Source organism: Homo sapiens, chromosome 1 (genome assembly GCF_000001405.40).
Source record: "Homo sapiens chromosome 1, GRCh38.p14 Primary Assembly".
In the NCBI taxonomy this organism is placed as follows: domain Eukaryota; kingdom Metazoa; phylum Chordata; class Mammalia; order Primates; family Hominidae; genus Homo; species Homo sapiens.
Window position 1 is genome coordinate 235,660,255 of NC_000001.11, and position 22,924 is coordinate 235,683,178.

The 22,924-nt window shown below is 39.1% G+C and overlaps 1 protein-coding gene across 8 annotated transcripts in view, besides 1 other annotated feature; it reads right to left on the minus strand.

The window, feature by feature from the left end:
* LYST (lysosomal trafficking regulator) overlaps nucleotides 777-22,924 on the minus strand; it is a 222,683-nt gene continuing 200,535 nt past the window's right edge. For 7 of the 8 annotated variants that reach the window (XM_011544032.2, NM_001301365.1, XM_011544031.2 and 4 more), the window contains 5 exons: nucleotides 17,226-17,365; nucleotides 16,837-16,934; nucleotides 4,211-4,367; nucleotides 3,730-3,801; nucleotides 777-2,824 (listed from right to left, as the gene is read on the minus strand). In XM_011544032.2, the coding sequence (XP_011542334.1) occupies nucleotides 2,686-2,824; nucleotides 3,730-3,801; nucleotides 4,211-4,367; nucleotides 16,837-16,934; nucleotides 17,226-17,365 (606 nt within the window). In that variant the 3' untranslated portion in view covers nucleotides 777-2,685. The remainder of the gene's footprint in view (nucleotides 2,825-3,729; nucleotides 3,802-4,210; nucleotides 4,368-16,836; nucleotides 16,935-17,225; nucleotides 17,366-22,924) is intronic. The other variant, NM_000081.4, reaches the window with a different exon arrangement.
* Nucleotides 9,129-10,328: an enhancer, noted in NCBI's record as "BRD4-independent group 4 enhancer chr1:235832683-235833882 (GRCh37/hg19 assembly coordinates)". NCBI's record gives its function as "activates an origin of replication core promoter dependent on BRD2, P300/CBP, MED14 and CDK7 cofactors, and independent of BRD4, by STARR-seq in HCT116 cells {active_cell/tissue: HCT116}" and the evidence as "EXISTENCE:reporter gene assay evidence [ECO:0000049][PMID:35650434]".

Here is a 22,924-nt window from a genome sequence, read left to right on the forward strand (position 1 = left end):
CTTTCAGAGTACCCTATATTTTACCTAACACTTACCATGGTTTGTAACTGTACATATTGTGTGTTATTTATGGTGGTTTCTCCACCAGCCTGTAACCTCCAGGAGTGCAGGGGACCACCGTGCTTTGTGCAGCACGATATCCTCAGCACTTGGTACAGTGCCTGGCACCTGGCAAGGGCTCAATATAGATCTGCTGTGGGGTCGGGGGTGGGCAGATGGTTTTTTCTTTAAAATGAGCGGTTTGATCTTGGGACTAGTGTCCACACCATCTAAGGGTAGTAAAGGTTGAAACATAAAATTTTAGTACAAAAACCACAATAAGAAATGAAAGTTAGGCCGGGCGTGGTGGCTCACACCTGTAATCCCAGCACTTTGGGAGGCCAAGGCAGGTGGATCACGAGGTCAGGAGATTGAGACCATCCTGGCTAACACGGTGAAGCCCCGTCTCTACTAAAAATACAAAAAAAAAAAAAAAAAAAAAAAAAGTTAGCCGGGCGTCGTGGCACACTCCTGTAGTCCCAGCTACTTGGAAGGCTGAGGCTGGAGAATCGCTTGAACCTGGGAGGCGGAGGTTGCAGTGAGCTGAGATCGTGCCACTGCACTCCAGCCTGGGCGACAGAGCTAAACTACATCTCAAAAAAAAAAAAAAAAAAGAAAGTTATCTTTTTCTAGTGATATAAATGCATAGTGGAGCTAAAGACAGAACCTATGTGGGTTACACAGAAAGCCATCGATTTGAGATCTGCTCATAATATTTAAATAGCTTAAAGAAGAGGTGTTTACATCTATTTTTATGAAATTTATTTCCAAATTGAAGAGGCAGTGTATATAAAGGTAACAGAGCTTGTGATAATTTACAGAAATGTTTGCTACAACATGCACATTATGAAGTATTTCAAACATATACATATTAGGTTTCATGCTGAATAAATAATCCCCCCAAATTAATTTTTATTTTTACATAAAAATATAATATTGCACTCTTAACAAGACCAGTTATTCTGCATATTTTCTCTTTAGATAAATGATGAAATTCGGTTTTTAAAAAAAGATGAGTAGCAACCCTATTCTAATAGGGGACTAATTTAAAGTTCTCAGTAAAAAAATGAAAGCTAGACAATAGCTGCAATTTTTTGTTAACAAAGCAAATCACTTCAACGTGAATAGGAGTAATCTCATCTCTGCACCTCCATGGACCTCAGGATTCACACCTGGCCTGAGCACACGGTGATCTAAATGCAGCCTAGGTATCACTACATGTGTATGCAGTTTAAGGTTAAAGCATACATGGCCACGTGCTTTCTCTCGAATCTATCTTGACAGCAGAGACTTTGGAATTATATTTTATATGGTTTTTAAGCAGAATGTTTTAGAAAGTCTGGAAGTTACAAAAGTAGTACTGTAAACACCATATGAATTAAATTTCCATAACAAATGCACAAGTTATTCTTAGGCAGGGATACATATTTTTATCCCATGGTAACATATTACTGAGCTTATCTGACAGTGTTTTCAAAGCCAATAAAGCAGCACCCCAAGTAAAAATATACAGACAGCCATCATATGGGAGAGACAGACGGCTCCAAGATGTTTAGGAATTCTGTCTTTATGGTATGTAAGTTTGCTGTGGAATACACGAGATTTTATTATTCTTCCTAGAATTCTCAGATGGTATAGGTTAGTAGAAACAGAATGAAATGGTTTCCTAAAAGAATTATTCTGCCTCCTGTTTAAAGTAAGCTTTTATAATTCTGTTTTGGGGAAGAAAATTCTTCCTGCAGATTAGATCAAATGCCTTATTTAGGCTGTGTTCTTAATACCCATGCAAACTTCTTGCATACTGAAGGCTTTCTATTGCAAATTGGTACAGATTCAATGCTCTGTAAATAGCAGACTTTAAGACTTACCATTGTGTTTAAACCTCAGTGACTCAACTAAGGATAGTCAATATCTAGCGTTACAGATTTTAAGTAAAATTTTTATGAAGAAACAGAATGTGTCTGAAATCCAAGATACCTGTATTCTTGTTTGTGGCTGTCAAAAAAATTCTGGTTCTCCTTTGAGCTAAGAAAGCAACTGGCAAAAACTGCCTAATTTTGAGATTCATTCATAGTTTATTTTAGTATTTAGATATTCCATAAAATATTTGGTACAGAGGCACCTACTGAATAATTTGCTTCTCAAAGAAAGCAATTATCAAGTCCTAAAAATTATCTTTTTTTCTTTCCTCTTTTGGAGCATGTGTGTGTGGTGGGAGGAGTATTTCATGGCAGTAAACTTTTAAAATATAATTTTAGTGTGTTTTATATAAACAATCAACCAACCAATTTAAATTCTACTGGTCCTTTTGGAATCATAGAAAAAGGGGAGACCTTAATATTTTCTTTGGAATACCTTGGTGGGAAAAAATTTTAAGAATATCATTTTAATGTACCATGCGAGGCTTAAAACTTGTTGGCTAGTGCATATTGACACAATCTTCCAGATTATCACTAAAATAGAACAGAACTTTCCTCTTAGGATCATGTGACTCTTCAGAATTTTGTGCAGATGAATAGACTTTATCATTATTTGGATGGTTTGTCCAGTCATCCATTTCTTTAGGTTCAACCTCCTAAAACTGGTGAAGTCAACAAATCTAGTTTGGAGTTAAAGTGCTTTGGAGAACGTGAAGTTCATTCGCATTCACCCGGCTGCATAGCTGCTAAGGAAGGAATAGAACATTGGCTGTTTCAAGCGCTGCTGGTCCTTCCGACACCAGGCAATCACGGTCCCATCACTGTTTGCTGTGTACAAATGGTGGCCATCACAAGAAAATGTAAGGCTGTAAAAAAAAAAAAATTCCCATTTGTACATTATATTTCTTAAAAGTGTATTAGCATATTGGTCATCATACTGAGGTTAGTGTAAAGAAGTTATCTTCAGTGGCGCAGAGAGACATAAACTAAATGACTGCCTACAACTCATTGGTTTTGACTGTAATTCTAACATAGTCACTCTGCTGACAAGTTGAGATGCTCATAAATGCGGTGATATAGAATAAAATCAGGATCACAAAGCTCAGTACATTCTATTCTTTGCATATCTTCTTTTGCCTCCTTGTTTATGCTTTATTACATAAACAACAAATATTTGGGTGTACAAAACTTTTAAAAATATAACAGTACTATATTTTCTCCTTATAAAGATAAATAAGTATTTTATGGCTATATATTATTTCCCTAAAAGAGAAAAGGAAAAAAATGTAACATTAGTAATTAATTTAGGTTCCTTAAACTTTAAATTTAGTACACTGAAAATACATTTAATTTAATAAAGTAAAATTTGAATCACTTTATTTCTAATTATTTAAAGTCAAATTTGTTAACTAAGCAAAGAGTAACTGATTATTTATCTATTTTGTCAAGCACCCCTGCAGCTATCAATCACCATTATGGTCTTGTCAAATATGAAAGGAAAAAATACAGTCTCTATGATTCCAGAGACACACTACAAGCATGCCTTTCCACTAGACTCTGAGTCACTGACTCGGATTTTAAGCTCCATGAAGACAAGGAGTGTGGTCTCTCTTGCTGCTGGGTCACGGACAACCCGCTGTGTGTTAAGTGGTTGGCTTTTCATGATGACTTCAATTGCACATTTCTTTAAGTCTGTGTGCTTAAATACCTCTCTACGAAAAATACAATCACAAATTGTATTCTGAAGCATAAGAGGGGGAGAAGATCTTACCTGATGATGGGCTTATTTGATTTGGGAAATGTAATTTCTCTCACAGGCTTTAAGTCCCATGTGCTCCATAACCTAGAGGGGAAAAAAATCATCTAATTATGCAAACTAAAATTACTCTCCCTAAAAAGCCCTCTATATTTGTTTATTTGTTAAAAATCATGTGGAAGGAAATGTAACAAACAATTAACAGTAGTTCCCTCTAGGGAGTTTGCAGGGGGTAGATGTGGGAATAAGAGAACTTTTAACTTTGTATACTTCCATACTGTTAATCTTTTATAGTTAACATAAAACTTCAAAACTGTGCTAAAGCTATCTTTATTATTTAGAAATAAAACAGGAATAACTAAAGAACCTACACCCCAAGGTGAGTTTAAATCTCTAAATACTGAATATTAATATGCCTAGATATTAAAAATTAATTTCTGAAACTCCTGTGTCCTTATGAATGAAATCAAAAAAAGAGAATCCAAATTCCTCTTACCTTACAATTCCATTTTCTAATCCCCCAGCGATTACATTGATAGATACTCCCTCAGGCTGGTTGGAGAAAGCCACGGAACAGATGATCTCCCTGCAGTGGACATGTCCAACGAGATCCCCGTTCACCGTCCAGAGTCTGAGGTCACTGCCTCCGCCAGCTAAAACACCCAAATCATCCGGCGGGTTACCAGAATGTGGCTGTCTCAGAGCCCACATTTGGCCCCAGAAGGGCAACCCTGAAGGGCAAGCTCATTTGTTTATTGATGAAGTTTGTAGACAACCCATGACTGAAGACTGTATAAATGAAATTACTACACAAGTTGCACAGATTTTTCTTTTTCATTTTCTTTTGAGACAGAGTCTAACTCTGTCGCCCAGGCTGGAGTGCAGTGGTGTGATCTTGGCTCACTGTAACTGCCTCCTGAATTCAAGAGATTCTTCTGCCTCAGCCTTCTAAGTTGCTGGGACAACAGGTGCACGCCACCACATCCGGCTAATTTTTATATTTTTAGTAGAAATGGGTTTTTGCCATGTTGGCTAGGCTAGTCTTGAACTCCTGACCTCAAGTGATCAGCCCACCTCGGCCTCCCAAAGTGCTGGGATTACAGGCGTGAGCCACTGCACCAGGCCAAGTTGCATAGATCTTTATGTATTAATCAAGAGACAATAACCAGCGAAAAAATAAAAATAAGAAGAAGCAATCTATGTGTACAGTAACAAGGTAAAATAATCATCTTTGTGTAATTGTAATATTTCAGCATATGAACCACCAAATATGAGTTATGATTGAAAATACTTGGAAAGCTAAACAGTCTCCAAAAAGTGAAGGAAATATTCTGTGAAACCATCTATAAGAAGTGACTTGGCCAGGCGTGGTGCCTCATGCCTGTAATCCCAGCACTTTTGGAGGCCGAGGCGGGTGGATCACCTGAAGTCAGGAGTTCGAGACCAGCCTAGTTAACATGGTGAAACCCCATCTCTACTAAAAATACAAAAAAATTAGCCAGGGGTGGTGGCGGGCGCCTGTAGTTCCAGCTACTAGGGAGGCTGAGGCAGAAGAATCACTTGAACCCAGGAGGTGGAGGTTGCAGTGAGCCGAGATAGTGCCACTGCACTCCAGCCTGGGCGACAGAGCAGAGACTCTATCTCAAAAAAAAAAAAAAAAAAAGTGACTTATGTGACTTTTGAAGAAAAAAAAAGGTGTAGTAAAAATTACCTGAGTTAAAACTTAATTCTTAAAAAAAGAAGAAAAAGTATTCTTCAGAACATCTAAGATTAAATCTTATAAAGCAATACCTTATTAATTTTTTCTTTTCAAAGATTACAGAGTAACCAAAAGTTTTTCTTTTAGTTTTCTGGGGTTGGGGGAAGCATAATTGCCTGCCATGCTTTATAAACAGGATGGTTTGGGGGCTGATGATGATATGTCCAGCCTTCTCTGGGGAAATACTCTCATACTGATAAAGCGGTTAGGAGGCACGATAAAGTTTGATGACATAGTCTCACTACATTTAATTTTATCTTTTCATTACATATAAGTAGAGGCTTTGCTTCTGTCTTTTATTAAGACAATGAAAATATTTCATATTTTATAGCAAAGAAACATATAAACAATGCTTCTTTATTTAAAAATATGCCAAAGACCGCCAAATACCACAGATCAAAATGCCCAGTGTGTTGCAGCATTATTCACAATAGCCAAGAAGAGGAAACAACCTAAATGTCTATCAACAGATGCATAAACAAAATGCAGTATGTACATACACACACACACACACACACACACACACACACACACACACACACAATTTTCTTTAGCCGTAAAAAGGAATGAAGCATGCGAAAACATGGATGAACCCTGAAAACATCATGCTAAGTGAAATAAGCCAGACACAAACAGACAGGTACTGTATGATTCCACTTACATAAAATATCTACAATGGGCAAATTCAGAGAGATAGAAAGTAAAATAGAGGTTACCAGGGGCTGGAAGCTGAGGGAGGAGGAATGGGGAAATAGTGGTGATGGCTGCACAACACTGTTAATATAATTAATGCCACTGAACTGAATACTTAAAAAATGGCTGGAATGGCAAATTTTATTTAAATATACATTGAGACACACATGCACACACACACACACATACACACACACACACACACACACACACACATGCCCAATGTTCTACTAAGTTTTCCCATTGTAGAACATTGATTATATCTAAATATAGCATCAAGATGCAGGAGACTCAGTATGCTAAAGAAATAGAATTATAGACAATATTTTCCATGAGTAGGCTACATTTCAACCTTTCTTTTGAATTAAATGTTGGCTAAAATATTTTTTTAAAAGATAAAATAATTAGATAAGTACTAGTAAGGCTAGAAGGCTCATTGAAGTCACTGGAAACATAGCCATAAAAGATATTGAGGTAGGGGTTTCTCGCTGTAACCCATAGCTACCACTACTGCATGGCTTAATCCTTCAAAATAAAAAATCTAAATGTGGGCCTGGACTCTCAAGTATGGCCTGGAACTTAGTAGCCAAAGAATTATCCTAGCAGCTCACTCAGTAACTTGGGCTACCACAAAACCAAATAACTACTCATCTGCCTACTTCTGTAAGTATCAAAATTTGACAGTTACCCAATACCAGATTGCTCGAATGTATAATTTAACACATCAACTAAAAGTCAGAAACCTAGGCATTCCTAAAAAGCATCTCTATCCTTCGTATACACAGTCATGAAAATCAAAATAAATTAAAGAACCACCCCACTGTGAATCTTAGAATATTTTACTAACTCTATCTTGCCATTGGCAACAGAGGACCAGGCTATGGATGTCTCACCTTAGTTCAAAGGCATATATTTTGATCCAGTGATAGAATGGTAAACACACATACAACCCCCCCAGAAATCACTGATTACATTTTCACAGTTTAATACATTTCACATCTTATCACTATAAAAACCATATCCCATCATAAGAACTGAGAAATTATGATCAGGAGGAATGAGCTTGACAATGTAACTTTTGAGAAGATGTTACACATACAGCACAGGCACATAATATAGTTGTCCCTAGGTATCTGAGAGGGATTGGTTCCAGGACCCCTGAGGATATCAAAATCCATGGATGCTCAAGTCCTTGATATAAAATGGTGTAGTATTTGCATATAACCTCTGCACATCCTCCTGTATTCTTTTTTTTTTTTCTTTTGAGATGGAGTCTCGCTCTGTTGCCCAGACTGGAGTGCAGCGGTACAATCTCAGCTCACTGCAACCTCCGCTTCCTTCAAGCGATTCTCCTGCCTCAGCCTCCTGGGTAGCTGGGACTACAGGCGAGTGCCACCATGTCTGGCTAAATTTTTGAATTTTTAGTAGAGATGGGGTTTCACTGTGTTAGCCAGGATGGTTTTGATCTCCTGATCTCGTGATCTACCCACCTCGGCCTCCCAAAGTGCAGGGATTACAGGCATAGCCACCGTGCCTGGCCTCCTCCTGTATTCTTTAAATCACCTCTAGATTATTTATAATACCAAATACAATATAAGTGCTATATAAATAGTTGTTATACTGTATTGTTTGGATAATAATAAGAAAAAAGTCTGTACATACTAAGTACAGATGCAACCATTCATTTTCCTCCCCAGATATTTTCAATCTGAGGTTGGTTGAATCCACGGATGTGAAACCCACAGATACAAAGGATTGTCTGTACGTATATACATACATAGACATATATATATATATTTTAATTTTAAGATCACTTGGATGATATCCAATAAATAGTCAAAATTTTTGATAGGTTAAATCTGATAACTTTCTTTCCTTCTTGGCCTACAAGAAAATAGGAGGATGAACTCTAGTCTGGGTCGCTACAGATAAATTTGACCTCTCTTTAAAAAAGTAATTTAAAAAATTATGTTCCCTATATACCAAGTGCTCTTTATGATTTCTTTTATATATGTATCAAGAGACCTTAAAAAAAGTTGACAAGGCCTTTTTGTTCAAATTGGAAAAAAGTTTTACCCATTACTCTATTATATTGTGTGCTACCCAGGGACACCTGAATACCCTACTAGTGAGTTGGTAATTGCAGAAAAAGTAATTTTGTTTCTCATTCTCATATGACTAGCTGATATAATATCACAGATATAAATCACTACTGGCAGCAGGAAAGTAATTAACTTTACAAAATTCAACTCCCTCAGGATCAGTCCTAACTTTCAAACACTGCCAAAACAAGAAAGTAGAGAACTCCATATAAACAATCATTATATTATTTCCCCAGTATTCCTCTTGATATGACACACTAAAAGCTGCTAATGCACAAATCAAGGAAATAAAAAATCATCAATCATTTGCGCAAACTTGTACTACCAAAGTCAACTCTTTAAGATCTTTTCCCTTTGTTATAATCATTAGGAAATAAAAATGTTTTCATGACATTATTTTACAACTGGGGGCTAAGACTAGCAAAAATTCTTTCATATCTGAAATCTAATCATGACTGAAGATATTACTTCTCCTGAACACAAGAATAGATGAATGTTTTGTAGAAACAACAATAACAAAACCCTAACAGGTATCTGTGGTATAATGAAAAATAAGTATTTGGTCTTTGTCCCTGGTTCCTGGGACAGAGTCCCTAAAGCCCTTGGAATTTACTGTCTTCTGTATGCTAATGAGATGACTCTCAGTGGGCAGGACTACATAGCTTCAGTCTAGAGGCTGGTCACCAGAAAAATCAACCACATGATTGAGGACTGAAACTTCCAGATACCCCCCAACTCTCATGCCCACCTCCTGGTGAGGCAGGAGAATAGGGTCTGGAGGCAGGGAACCTAAGACAGTTTCACACTCACTTCCTAGAACTAAATTCAAAGGAAAACCCTAACTTTCCAGGCCTAAAGAACAAAAGGACCAGAGGCTACTCCCTTTGCAAAACTCCCACGTTTTCTGCTGGCAGATGGGAAATTGGCTGTCTGCAACCAATCAAACTGATTGTGGGTGGAGTCTTCATTTGCAACTTTGTAACTTCACCTTAGCCTACGATTGGTTGCAAAAAGCAATCAGATGTTTCCACAGGAGTGTGACCTTTGTAACTCCATTTAAGCTTCTGATTGGTGGTTTTAGGCAACCCATCAGACTGATTGTGGGATACCACTTCATTCACATGACGTGAGCATAAAGTGGCCAATGGGAAACCTCCGCAGGGTATTTGTACCCAAGAAGATTCTATATCCAGGCCCTTGAGCCGCTGCTTGGGTCCACTTCCACACTGCCGAGTGTACTTTCATTTTCAATAAATTCCTGCTTTTGTTCTTTTGTTGCTTCATGCTTTCTTTGCTTTGCTGGGCATTTTGTCCAATTCTTTGTTCAAAACACCAAGAACCTGGACAACTTGCAGTCAACACCCTCTACCAGTGACACTGGGAGCAGAGTGGGGGGTGGGGATTGACCTATGTAACAAAACCTTCATAAAGTTCCTAAATGACAAGGGTAGGAGCACTTCTGGGTTGGTGAACACAACTATGTCAGAAATAATAAGTTTCTCTTCAAAGCTCCCTTGGTCTTTCTTGCTCTGTACACAGGCCCCACCCCTTGCTTAATTTGTAATTAGCAAACCTCTATATGCCCAGACATGCCCAGACTTGTTCTGTAAACTACCTTTCCCACCTTAGCAACAGTCTCTTCCTCCCCTCCTCTTGCAAACGGCATATTTACCATATGTAGAAAAGTTTAAGTCTTAGCCAATAATTGGGTTAGATTGTTCAGTCCAACTCAAGCCAATGGGGAGAGGACACAGTAACAGGAGCTGCGTTAGGGATAAAAACTTTTCTCTCCTTTGTTTGGTATGCTCTTGCAATCAGACGGATGCAGGCAGCACCCTTCTGCAGAAGTAAATGTGCCTTGCTGAGAAATGTTCTGTCTAAGTGCTGGCTTTTCTTTGAGGCACTGAGCACTTGTTTCTAACAAAATGGGGGCACATCTGGGATCCCATTCTCCTCCGGAGAAGGGTCTCCAATCATCTCTTGTGAGGAGACGTGTCTCACTGCAGCAGCCTCAAGAATGAGGGATTGAGACCCACCAGCATGATGAATATACCGAGACTCTCAGCAACATGGAAGGAAAAGGCCTACAGATGCCATGGTGACCAAGTAATTCTGTGCACAGACCAAGGTAAGAAAAGCCGCAGGGGCAGTGAAGTACTTCTTTGGTGGTTGGGACATCCTGGAGGTTGAAAGTATGTGAATGAGATGCACAATTAAGTGCAAAGCGAGTGTGGAGTAAAGTAAAGGAGTGCAAGAAACCTCCAGTGGGGAGGGGGGTTAAGTCTCCAGGGAAAGGGTGCAAGAAATCTCTAGTAAGAGAGGTTGAACCCCATACAGTCAGGAAACTCAGGGACACATCTAAAACTTCCAGGATGGGAAATAACCCTAGTAAAACAAAAACTACAAAGAGCAAAGCAGATAATATGATTCCCTCTGATAACCCTCTAAGTCTCATGTTAAAATATTGGAAAGATAATGAAAAGACAGTAAACCTGAGCTCTATTTGGGAAAAGAAATGGAGCTAGTATTTAAACTATTTATTTTCACAAGGATTACAGGCACCTGCCACCACGCCCAGCTAATTTTTGTATTTTTAGTAGAGACAAGGTTTTGTCATGTTGGCCAAGCTGGTCTCAAACTCTTGACCTTAAGTGATCCACCTGCCTCAGCCTCCCAAAGCGTTGGGATTACAGGTGTGAGCCACTGCACCCAGCCCAAAGTACCTGTTTTTATGGAGTTTACATTCCAATGGAGAAGACAAATAATAACAATATAAGCAAATATATCAACTGCTATAAATAAAAGGCAGGGAATAGGGATAGAATGCATTGAATTTTGTCAAATGCTTTTTTCTGTATCTTTTGAGATTATCATATGGCTTTTGCTCTTCATTCTGTTAACATGATATATCACATTTACTGATTTGTATATGTTGAATCATCTTTACATCCCAGGATGAATCCCACTGGGACAGAATGTGGGGAGGGTTAATACTTTAGATAAGATGGCTTGGAGAAGCCTGTTTGAAGAGATAACATATGCAGAGGCCCCAGTGAGGTAAGCATATGAGCCATATAAATATTTAGGGAAAAAGCATTCTGGACAAAGGTAAAAGCAAGTGAAAAGGCCCTAAAATGTAACTTACTTGGCATGTTTAAGGAATAACAAAGAGGTCAGTGAGGTTATAGCATAGTGATTAAGAGAGAAGAATAGTAAGAAGTGACATAAGGAAGAAAGCCAGGTCCTTATAGCCTGGCGTAGATATGTAAATGGGAAGCAATTAGATTAAGAAGAGGATGACATAATTCGATTTACCTTTATGAAATATAGAGCTACAGTGTGAAAGTTAGACTGAAAAAGATTAAAGAGGAAAGCAAAGACCAGTTAGGTTATTATAGTGTTCTAGGTAACAGTTTTGGACTAGTGTGATAGATGTTAGGGTAGGAGAAGTTAGAAGTTAGATTCAGACTCTATTTTGTAAGTAGAGAAGATAATGTCTGCTAATAGCTTGGATATAAGGAGAAAGAAGGAGAAGAGTAAAGGATGACTCAGGTTTTTGACCTGTCAACTGGGTGAATTCTGAAATTCAGAGATGAGGCATACCAGAGAAGGAACAAGTTTGGAGGAATGTAGAATCAAGTTTTGTTTTGGCTGTGTTAAGTTGAAAATGCTGTGTAGGCAATTAGATATCCAAGTCTGGATTTCAGGGTATAATTTGGAACTGGAAAAATAAATTTAGGAGTCATTAGGGAATAACCATGACTTTGGATAAGATCACCTAGTACAGCTAGAGAAGAGAAGGTAGCAAAAGACAAGAGACCTAAGGTATGCCATCGTTAAGAAGTAGACAAAAAGAGGAGGAACCAGCAAAAGACTGAGAAGGACCCACCAGTGACCTAGAAGAAAAATCAGGAGACTAGTATTCTGAAAGCCACCAGAAGAAAGTGTTTCACAAAAGGGAGGTAGTATTGAATGGTGTGGAATGTTGCCTGTATACCTAGAAAAAAGCAACTTTGGCTGCTTTTTAAGTGAATGTGATAGAGTTTGTACTGCAAATAACTTTCCATATTGCTTTTCAAATCATGATATTTTAGTTCTTAAGATCATGTAGAACTTTCCATTGTGAAAAGGGATTTGATTACTTTTATAACTAAAGAAACTTTTCTAAACTTAATTAAAAAAAATTAATTCTAGAAACTCGATTACCATGGACTAAGTGTTTTCCCGTTACCCTATTAAGAGTCTGAACTGCTCACTAGAAAGATATCGGCTTATCCCCGTATAAAATGCTTTATAGGTTGCCTTATTTAAATTCCACTACTGACCTCCCAACATTTGAGACAAAGGATCAGTTTCTTAGAAACTATGTATTTAGTCTGTCTTCCACCCTTTACTCACTCCCTCAAGACTCAAAGCCTCCTAGCACAAACTCCACCCCTCAAACTCCCAGTTCACCGACACCAACCCGGAGATCACATCCTTATCAGAAGTTGCAAAGAGGGAAAGCTCGAGCCCATCTGGGAAGGAACTTACCTGGTGCTCTTAACAACTGAAACAGTAATCCAAACTGCTGAAAAAGGGTAGACCCATTATACCCGAGTCAAGAAAGCACTGCCCTCTTCAAAGCCATGGACCACTGTCCCAGGGCCAACTCCCACCAAAGCAATGTTAAAAAGAAAAGTCTAATCAGTCTGTCTCTTTTTTTTTCTCTTCTCTTTCCCTTAACCACCCCCTCCATTTTATTATTAATGTAACTAAGTCAAGCTCACCCCAAAATATTACTTTTAATGCTTGTTTTGTTATACCCTGCAGGAACCTTCAACGCCAAAGAGAAATAGCATCAGAAAAATACCTCTGCCCCTCCAGGGAAGCCACTACCGCCCCCTTATCCCGCCTATGGTGGGGAGATCAGCACTCTCTCCCCAATTTATGTTCTCAATGGGCATATGTTGTTTAGACCACCAAAAATCAAGGTTAGACATCCTCAGATGATTGCACCACCCTAAAGCCTTACCTCCATTTCACCGAAGGAGTCACCGCCCCCCACAACTGTCACACCCACCAGTGCAACCCACTACTCATCTCTATTACTATCCCTACCTCTAGCAACTCTAACCCCACCTTAGGTGCTTCTATGGTCTAGGAGAAAATGCCGTTAGAAAGGACTCTACAGGCTTCTTTGAAATGCGCTTTGTTTCTTCCCCGCTATCCTCTATTGTTACCCCTTCCCCAAGCCCATCCAATCAAACCATCTACCATTTCATGCCCAATGACAAAACCAAAGTAGTTATAATAAAAGTCAAGGATTTAAAACAAACTTTAGCCATAACAACTGGGTACCAAGATATAAATGCCTGGCTGAAATGGATTAAATATTCCGCTCACACCTTAAATAAAAGCGATTGTTGCGCTTTTGCAACAGGCAGAGCAGAGACCCAAATCGTCCCCTTTCCACTTGGATGGTCCTCCGACCCACAGAATATGAACTGCATAGCAGCTCTCTTCCAAGACCCCACAGCCCGGGGCAATAAGGCATGCCAGTCTCTCGTTACTATTCCCAGAAGTTACAGGCTCTGTGGGTCAGCCCTCCAGAGCTATTTGGCCTCCAAGTAACAATGTCAATTTTACCTTGTGTCTCTCACGACAGGGGGAATATTTGGCATTCCTTGGAAGCCTAACAGGACGCAGTGAATCTAAGCCTTTTCAAGAGTTAACCAGCCTGTCTGCCCTTGTTTTCATCCCCAAGCGGATGTATGGTAGTATTGTAGTGGACCACTATTAAGTACTCTGCCAAGCAAGTGGAGTGGCATTTGCGCTCTAATCCAATTAGCCATCCCTTTCACCCTGGCATTTCATCAACCAAATAGAAAGAACAATCGTAAAAAAAAAAAAAAAAGTGTCCCCCTCGGGTCTTTTGATCGTCACATATATATAAATGCTATCAAAGTTCCACAAGAGGTGCTAAATGAATTTAAAGCCAGGAATCAAATAGCTGCAGGATTTGAATCTATATTGTTCTCATGGGTAACTGCAAGCAAAAATGTAGACTGGATAAATTACGTTTATTATAATCAACAGTGGTTTGCTAACTATACTAGGGATGCCATTAAAGGAATAGCTGAACAATTAGGTCCTACCAGTCAGATGGCTTAGGAAAATAGAATAGCCCTTAACATAATATTGGCCAAAAAGGGCGGGGTCTGTGTCATGATTGGAGTCCAATGTTGTACTTTTATCCCTAACAACACAGCCCCCAGTAAAACAATCACAAAAGCCCTACAGGGCCTTACCACCCTAGCAAATAAATTAGCCGAAAAGTCATAGAAAAATGGTTTAGAAAATAGAAAGGACTCATAACATCAATCTTTATCCCCCTTGCAATTGTTATCAGTGTACTCATTCTTGTAAGTTGCTGCATCATACCTTGTATTCGTGGATCAAGGCAAAGGCTTATAGAAAAAGCTCTTACCAAAACCTCTCTCGATTCTCCCCCGCCCTACTCAAATAAGTTCCTACTCTTAAACAACCAAAAGGAACTACAAAGCCAAGAGATGTTAGAAAAATTTAAGGACTCTGAAGAGGAAGAAGTATAACATCAAAAGGGGGAAAAGTGTCAGAAATAATAAGTTCCAAGCTCCCTTGGTCTTTCTTGCTCTGTAAACAGCCCCCACCCTTGCTTATTTTGTAACTAGCAAACCTCTATATGCCTAGACATGCCCAGACTTGTTCTATAAACTACCCTTCCTGCCTTAGCAACAGTCTCTTCCTCCCCTCCTCTCGCAAACTGCATGTTTATCATAGTTAGAAAACTTTAAGTCTTAGCCAATTGAGTTAGTTAGATTGTGCAGTCTGACTCCAGCCAATGGCGAGAGGATACAGCAACAGGAGCTGTGTTAGGGATAAAAATCTTTATCTCCTTTTTTCGGTGTGCTCTTACGATCGGTCGGTCGGACGCAGGCAGCACCTTTCTGCAGAAGTAAATGTGCCTTCCTGAGAAATCTTCTAAGTGCTAGTTTTTCTTTACGGCACCAAGCACTTGTTTCTAACAACTGTGTGCCAGAACATGGTGCACCCTAACTCCACAACCCTGACTCCAGGAGGACAGACACTCCAGCACTCAGGGCACTTCCAGACCTGGTCCTGTGCCTCTTCAGCCGCTGTTCATTTCTATCCTTTATAATAAATGATAGTTGTTAAGTATAAATAGTGTTTTACTGAGTTCTGTGAGTCATTCTAGCAAATTATTGAACCTGAGGGTGGGGCTCATGGCAGCCTCCAAATTTGCAAACTTCTAGTGTCACAATTGAACTGCATGGTGGGACACCCAGTTGGTGTCAGAGAACTGGTTAGTCTCTGGAAAAACACCATACATTTTGTGTTAGAAAAAAAGAAACAATGTAAAAAATGCTAGCAAAGGATAGGGGACTACCCACTATGGGTATGTCCAACACTGAATGGACAGAAAGAAGCAAACAGTTTTTCAGAGGATCCTTTGCATCTTAAGACCCTTAAAAATAGAAATGCAAACAGAAAATTCATGAATTTTCTAACTGTTCTTTTCTGCTGGATGCATTGGTTTCTTAACATGTATATATGAAACAACAACAACAAAACACTCTTGATTAGGTGATATATTTTTGTCATGTAATTTTTAAGGCAAACTATACTTCCATTTACTATTCTATACTATTGCTCTCTGTCTGAACCTGGAAGACATATATTCAAGCTGGTCATCTGCTGAGGCTTTTCATTTAGTCAGGAGTGTTAAATAAAATTTACGGGAGGCCAATGTTTTAGACTGAGCTCCTGCACTAGGCCCTAACATACCAGATCAAACAAGAATGGAGTAGTCACTTGTGCGAGGTGACACATAATCAAACTGAACTTGGAAATGGGCTAGTTTTCCAAAAAAACAGGAGATTCACAGCAATCAATGACAGGGGATCACTCAAGTTGAGCTGGTATGATAAGGAAGTTCCTTCTGCTTTAATCCTCTAAGGAAAGTAACTGTGGAATGATCTATCTGAGTTTTGTTCCTTGTTTCTGCTTTCTTCAGCTTTTTCTGCCTATGAAGCCTACCTCCTCTGCTCGGCTCTCTGGGGTACCTTTCTGTTTCATAGATGGAATGCTGCCTGATTCATGAATCATTAATAAAAGCTAATTCAATTTTTCAGCTCAATTTGTTAAAATTTTGTTCTTTCACAGGAGGAAGGTAACAAAGTCAATAGTTACAAAGCAGAAGCAAAAAAGGGGAGAAAAGTCAAAACCAAGAAAACTGAAAAAACTATGTAACAATAATTTGCTTAGCTTAACATGTACTCAAATGCAATTTTACATGTATCAGGAAAATAGTTAAATTATGACAATACTAACTTCTGCATAAGCTGAGGCCTAAATTGATGCACTCAGTCTTGGACCATATTGTATTTCTATACACATACATGCTGTTACCAAAGTATTTAGATCTGGCAGGGACCTGAGAGAATGGCTCGACCTAGGAGTAACCACTGGCCGAATGCGCTGTTAGAGCACCAGCCAGCCCTGTGCTTTGGGTTGGAGCAAGCTCACCTGAATCACACACAGTAGCAATATCACCTGAGGTTTCACTGGCAGAGACAGCTGTGACAGGGCTTTTGTGTCCCGCCAGACTTTGTACATAGCATAACCTGAAAGAAAAAAGACATGAATTTGTATATGATCATTAAATATAATTACATTCTCTTATTTTGTAATTCTTCTTCTCAGTCTATGTACCTATTGTACATAAGGCATACATGTTTTCCTATCTGATTGTATGACTTCAATAAAATATAATAGGTAATCTTACTACCTTTAAGCATGTGTTTCATGGTTAAAATGATTATAACGTAAAGACATTATTTTGGTTTATCTATTTCATATAGTAAAAATGGATATATTAAAAATGCTATGTTTGATTTGGAGACCTTCTTCTGTACCTGTTTAAATCCCATATGATGCAGGTTCCGTCTCTGCTCACACTTATCAGTATACTGTATGGTTTGCAAACAAATAAGCTGGTTATCTCTTCTGTGTGACCATAGAGATGTATTTGAGTCTCCATTTCTATTTCTGATGGCTGAAATTTTAAAATTAAGTATGAGATAAAAACCACAACAAAAAGTACTCTAGTATAGTATCTCAAAAATAAAACAACCAAAGTGACTCAAATGGTCTTCTCAAACATATCATTCTTCAATCCTATTCAGAGTAAAACAAAGAAAGAAATTAAAAAATTTTTAATTCCTCATAATTTCCAGTTATCTGGTTTTCATTTTTGTCTATTCTTGTCCAATCTTTGTTCAAATATACATGTATTTTTATAGTTGTAATATTGCCACATAAAAATTTCCTATTTTATATTTTACATATTCTCCTATAAGCTTTTTCTAATCTTGACATTGTCTTCAAAATAATTTTTAATGATGTTATAATATTCTATACAGTTAGTACCCCACAATTTACAACTATCCTTCATTGATAGACACTTAAAATTGTTTCTATTTTTTTCAAATTATAGATAATACCATAAATTCTTCATGTATAAAAGGTTTTTAGTAGATTAGAGGGCAGACCTTTGGGAAATAAATAATTAAAGTTTTTTAAGAAGAAATACTTCTGTAAAAAAAAAATTCTGGGCATGGTGGCTCATGCCTGTAATCCCAGCACTTTGGGAGGCCGAGGCAGGCAGATCATGAGGTCAGGAGGTCGAGACCAGCCTGGCCAACATGGTGAAACCCTGTCTCTGCTAAAATTTCCAAAATTTTCCTAGTGGGTTTGTGAATATTAATAATTTTATAGTTCTTGACAGTGTACTTTCAGAAGGTGTCATGCAAATTGGTGATGTTACCAACGGTAATGGGCCCTAATGCTACCGATACTCAGCAGTTATGGCTTGACTTTCTAAATCAAAGCTTGCAAACTGGTGCTCTGAGGGCCACACTGGCTCACGGATACCAGATGTCCACACAGGGTTTGACTCTTGCTTTGTTAGGTTAACTATTATCATAAAGCATTTCAATATTTCCCCTTCAAAAATATAGAAAAGTAGAAAGAATAAGTATAATAAAGAGCTATATACTGACTACCCAGTTAAACAAATCTTAACATTTTATATTATCAATTTATTTTTTAAATAAAGCATTAAACATTGTACATATAATTTGTGTACTGTTCTACATCCTATTTCTTCTGTCTTGTCAGAAGTTACTACTAGCCTAAATTTTGTATTTATACTCCTATGTAAGTTTTTATACTTCCATTATGTTACTATAGCCATAAACAACATACTGTATAATACATATAAGTATTATATTGTATTTCATGTTTATGAATTCTGAATATATGGTATTATTTTTTAGGTATCTTCTGCATCTTACCTTTTCTCAAAAACACCATTGTTTTTGAAATATATCTGTGTTGATATATTAGGTACAGCTATCTATCTTAGCTGCTATGTAGTCCAGTTACATATTTTTATAGACATAAAAATACATATTTTACACTTAAAGAATCAAAAGACCAGGCAATACCAGGCTCACATTATTCCTTGTAACAACTGGCTTGAGCTGTGTAGCAACTGCCTGTTTAGCTAGGGCGTGTGACCTTCACCTGAAAACAATCACAGCGACCAGATCAGCTTTTAACAACAGCAAGAGTAGTAAGCCTGGATCCCTGGGCCCTCCCTTTAGAGCCATTCTGGCTCTCAGATTGTGACACTCTCCACAGCCAGGAGTCTGCAGAGCCACTGGGATATACCCATAACCCATTTCAGATCATGCTTTGAGGTATGTAGGACCAAGGAATTCCCTGCTCTAAAGGACCTGAGCCCCTTCCTTTTCTGCTTGGGTTCTGCAGCATTGAGTTTGTGATTTGGCCCCACTCTAAATCTTTGAAAATTTCCTAAGTTTCAAGTGGCAATCAAGGTTGCTTTAAATGATATTTATTTTATTATAACTTTTAACTTTTTCATAAATTTATTTTCTTAGCTGTATTTTTTTGTGCCTGGTTTTGTGTATTTGTCACTACATTATAACATTTACTTGTAGGAATTCCTCTATTTGTGGAACAGAATGCAAGTAACTTCCTTGTTTCTGCCAGATGACACCCACTACCACACCAGCCTGGGGCCACCTTAACGCAAAGTGAAGTCTTTGAGGATCCTAGACAAACCAGGGAATTCCAGGGTTCTCCCATGCAACTCATTTTCATTCTGAGAGAGCAGAATGAAAGGGACCAGCCTTTTGGAGGCGGGCTCTCTTGGCACTCCCCAGCTTGCTTAGTTCCTGGGTGCCGTTTTCCATTTCTTCCACAGAGGCTGTCCAAGGACAGTGTCAGTGTTTCAGGATTGATAGTGTCCTCAGGGCTAAAGCTCCTTCCTGCTTATTTACCTCTCTGGCTTGGTAGTTTCTTACTAGCTTGTCAGATCTTCAATGCTTTTAAGGCTCTCTCTCTCTCTCTCTATAAATATCTATGTATACACACACACACACACAACTAAGACTGAATAAAAATATATTTTATCATTATATGTTTACATTATATTAAAATATATACTTATAAGTTATATTAAAACATGGATATATTTTATAAAGATATATTTTTGTATATATATTTTATCCACTCTTCATCGTTTCAGGGGAGGATTATTCTGAACAACTTTTTTAAGAAACAGTAAATCTCTTGTTGGCCATCGGCCATGATCATAGTTTTGTTTATTTGTTTTTGTTTTTTGAGACAGGGTCTCACTCCGTCACCCAGGCTGCAGTGTAGTGGTGTGATTATAGCTCACTGTAGCCTCAAACTCCTGGGCTTAAGTGATCCTCCCATCTCAGCCACCTGAATAACAGGACTATAGGTATGCACTACCATGCCCAACTACTTTTTAAATTTTTTTTTTTTTGTGGAGATAGGGTCTTGCTATGCTGCCCAAGCTGGTCTCAAACTCTTGGCTTCAAGTGGTCGTCCCACCTGGGAAGGCCTCCCAAAGTGCTGGGATTACAGGCATGAACCACTGTGACTGGCCCATGGATATTTCTAATAAGGACACACAAGTGATTTTCTTTTTTTTTTTTTGAGATGAAGTCTTGCTCTTGCTGCCCAGGCTGGAGTGCAATGGCGCAACCTTGGCCCACTGCAACCTCCACCTCCTGGGTTCAAGTGATTCTCCTGCCTCAGCTTCCTGAGTAGCTGGAATTACAGGCAGCTGCCACCACGCCCGGCTAATTTTTGTATTTTTAGTAGAGAAGAGGTTTCCCCATGTTGGCCAGGCTGGTCTCGAACTCCTGACCTCAGGTGATCCGCCTGCCTCAGCCTCCCAAAGTGTTGGGATTACAGGCGTGAGCCACCGCGCCTGGCCTACAAGTGATTTTCATATTACAGAGAGAGACAGGTAATGTGGAGGGCAACCCATACATTTATTCATCCAACAAACATTGTTGAGTGTCCCCTACTGTGTGCCTGTCACTGAACCAGGAGCTGGGGATACAGAGTTCCCCTCTGGCAGCTCCATGGCAGTAAGGAGTGAGGGCTACCAAAGATGATTTTCACAAAGAACTCCGGGGACCCACAGATAAGTCGCTTCCTCAGACTGGGGACAGGGAGTGAAAGGAGGATTCCCTGGAAGACGGCATATGAACTGAAGTTTTGAAGAACTGGCAGAATTTACTCAAAGAAAAATGGCTGTCAAAGGGCACTCTGGGCTAAGAAGACAGCATGTGTGAGGGAAAGGAGATATGAAAGAAAGTGGCACTGCCAATGTTACTGGGAGCAGGGTAGGTAGGGAGCAGGAAGAAACGTGGTGGTGAGGTAGAGGGGGCAGTGAGGCAGAGAGGGGTCAGAGCACGGGGCCTGGTGTGTGATGCCTAGCAACCTACATTTTATCCCCGAAGCAATAAAGGGTCACTGAAGTGTCTGGGGCAGGACTAATGTGATGCAGTCGGCATTTTAGGAAGGCCATCATAGAGCCTACAAGGAGACTCAACTTCCAGGGACATGAGACTGGTGGCCAGGACACCAGTGAGAAGGTCAACATAGGGACCCAGGCAGGATGCAAAGGAATGAGCTGGGGCAATGGTCAGGGGGACATCTGGAGGAGACAGGTTTGACTCATTTCTATTTATCCTGCCAAGAATTGCTGTGATTCTTTAATCCAAAATGTAGGTTTTAATTGTAGGAAAATCTCAGTCATCATCTCTTCACACTGGGCCTTTCTTCCTTCTCTCATCCTGTAACTACTCATCACATTTGGATGCTCTCATTCTAGCCCTCATATCCCTTCTTTCCTCATTTTTTTTCTTTATCTTTCTATTTTATATTCTGTGTAATTTTTTTCAGTTCATTAATTCTGTAATCTGCTGCTTGACTAGCTGTTCCAATGAATCAGCTGTGACACGTTGGGCAAGTTACAAGAAGGATTAACTGTGTGTTTCAGTAGTCTCATGTAAAAATGGAGATAATGACAAAACCTACATCAAAGGGTTATTACGAAGATTTAACATGTGGCTCACGTCTGTAATGCAAGCACTTTGGGAGGCTGAGGCAGGAGGATTGTTGAGCCCAGGAGCTCGAGAATAGCCTGAGCAACATAGTGGGAGCCCGTCTCTAGAAAAAAATTTAAAAAGTAGTAGGGCATTGTGGTGTGTGCCTGTAGCCCCAGCTATTGGTAGGGGGTCGGGGATGGGGCTGAGGTGGGAGGACCACTTGAGTCTGGGAGGTTGAGGCTGCAGTAAGCCGTGATTGTGCCACTGTACTCCAGCATGGGCAAAAGGGCAAGACCCTGTATGCCCAAGAAGAAAGTGGAGAAAGAGAAGAGCAACAAGGAAAGGGAAGGTGCCTTAGCTCAACAGGCTGCTGGCGGACATGGAGAGGAAGCCCCAGAGAAGCATGTGGCGGACAAGCAATGAGAAGCATGCTGTGCAGCCTCAGGAAGCCCACAGCAGGCACTACTGATGCAGGAGAGGCCATGAGCCAGGTGGGAGATAAGAAAGGAAAGTATCAGACAACCTGGGGCTGGAACACAATGCACAGCTCTTAGAATAAGATCATCCTCACATCTGTTTTATGCTTAGGGCCAACAGTTAAAACCATAGAAATGTAGTCGGATGAAAGAATATAGAGAAAAATAAAGATACTTGAGTCAAAAACCAATACATCAGAAATTGTAAAGAGCTTAGAACAATGCCTAATACAAAGTAAGCAGTCAGTAAATATTAACTATTATTTTTATTATGTCATTTCTAGAAGTTCTATTTTATTTTTTTCCACACATGCTTTGTTTTTCTTCAGTGTCCCAATTTTAAACAGAACAACTATCTCCAATTCACTGAGTACAGATTAGTGAGTTACTTCAACATCAAAACTAAAATGAGGTTAGCGTTCTACTTGATAAGTTACAAGTTTGGTCTCCTTGGGCCAATATTTTCCTAAAGTTTTAGGTCATTCTCCTACTGACCACAGTCAATCCCATTCATTATTGTAAAAAATATGTCAGAAGAAACATAGAGTACAGATTTATTGACCTATTCTCCACCTTTTACTCTGTGAAATGAGTAACAGTTATGGGTAAACACAACATAGGGGTCCTAATAGTAGTATTTGATAATTTTTTAATAAACTCTGCACTTTGAAATAACTGCAA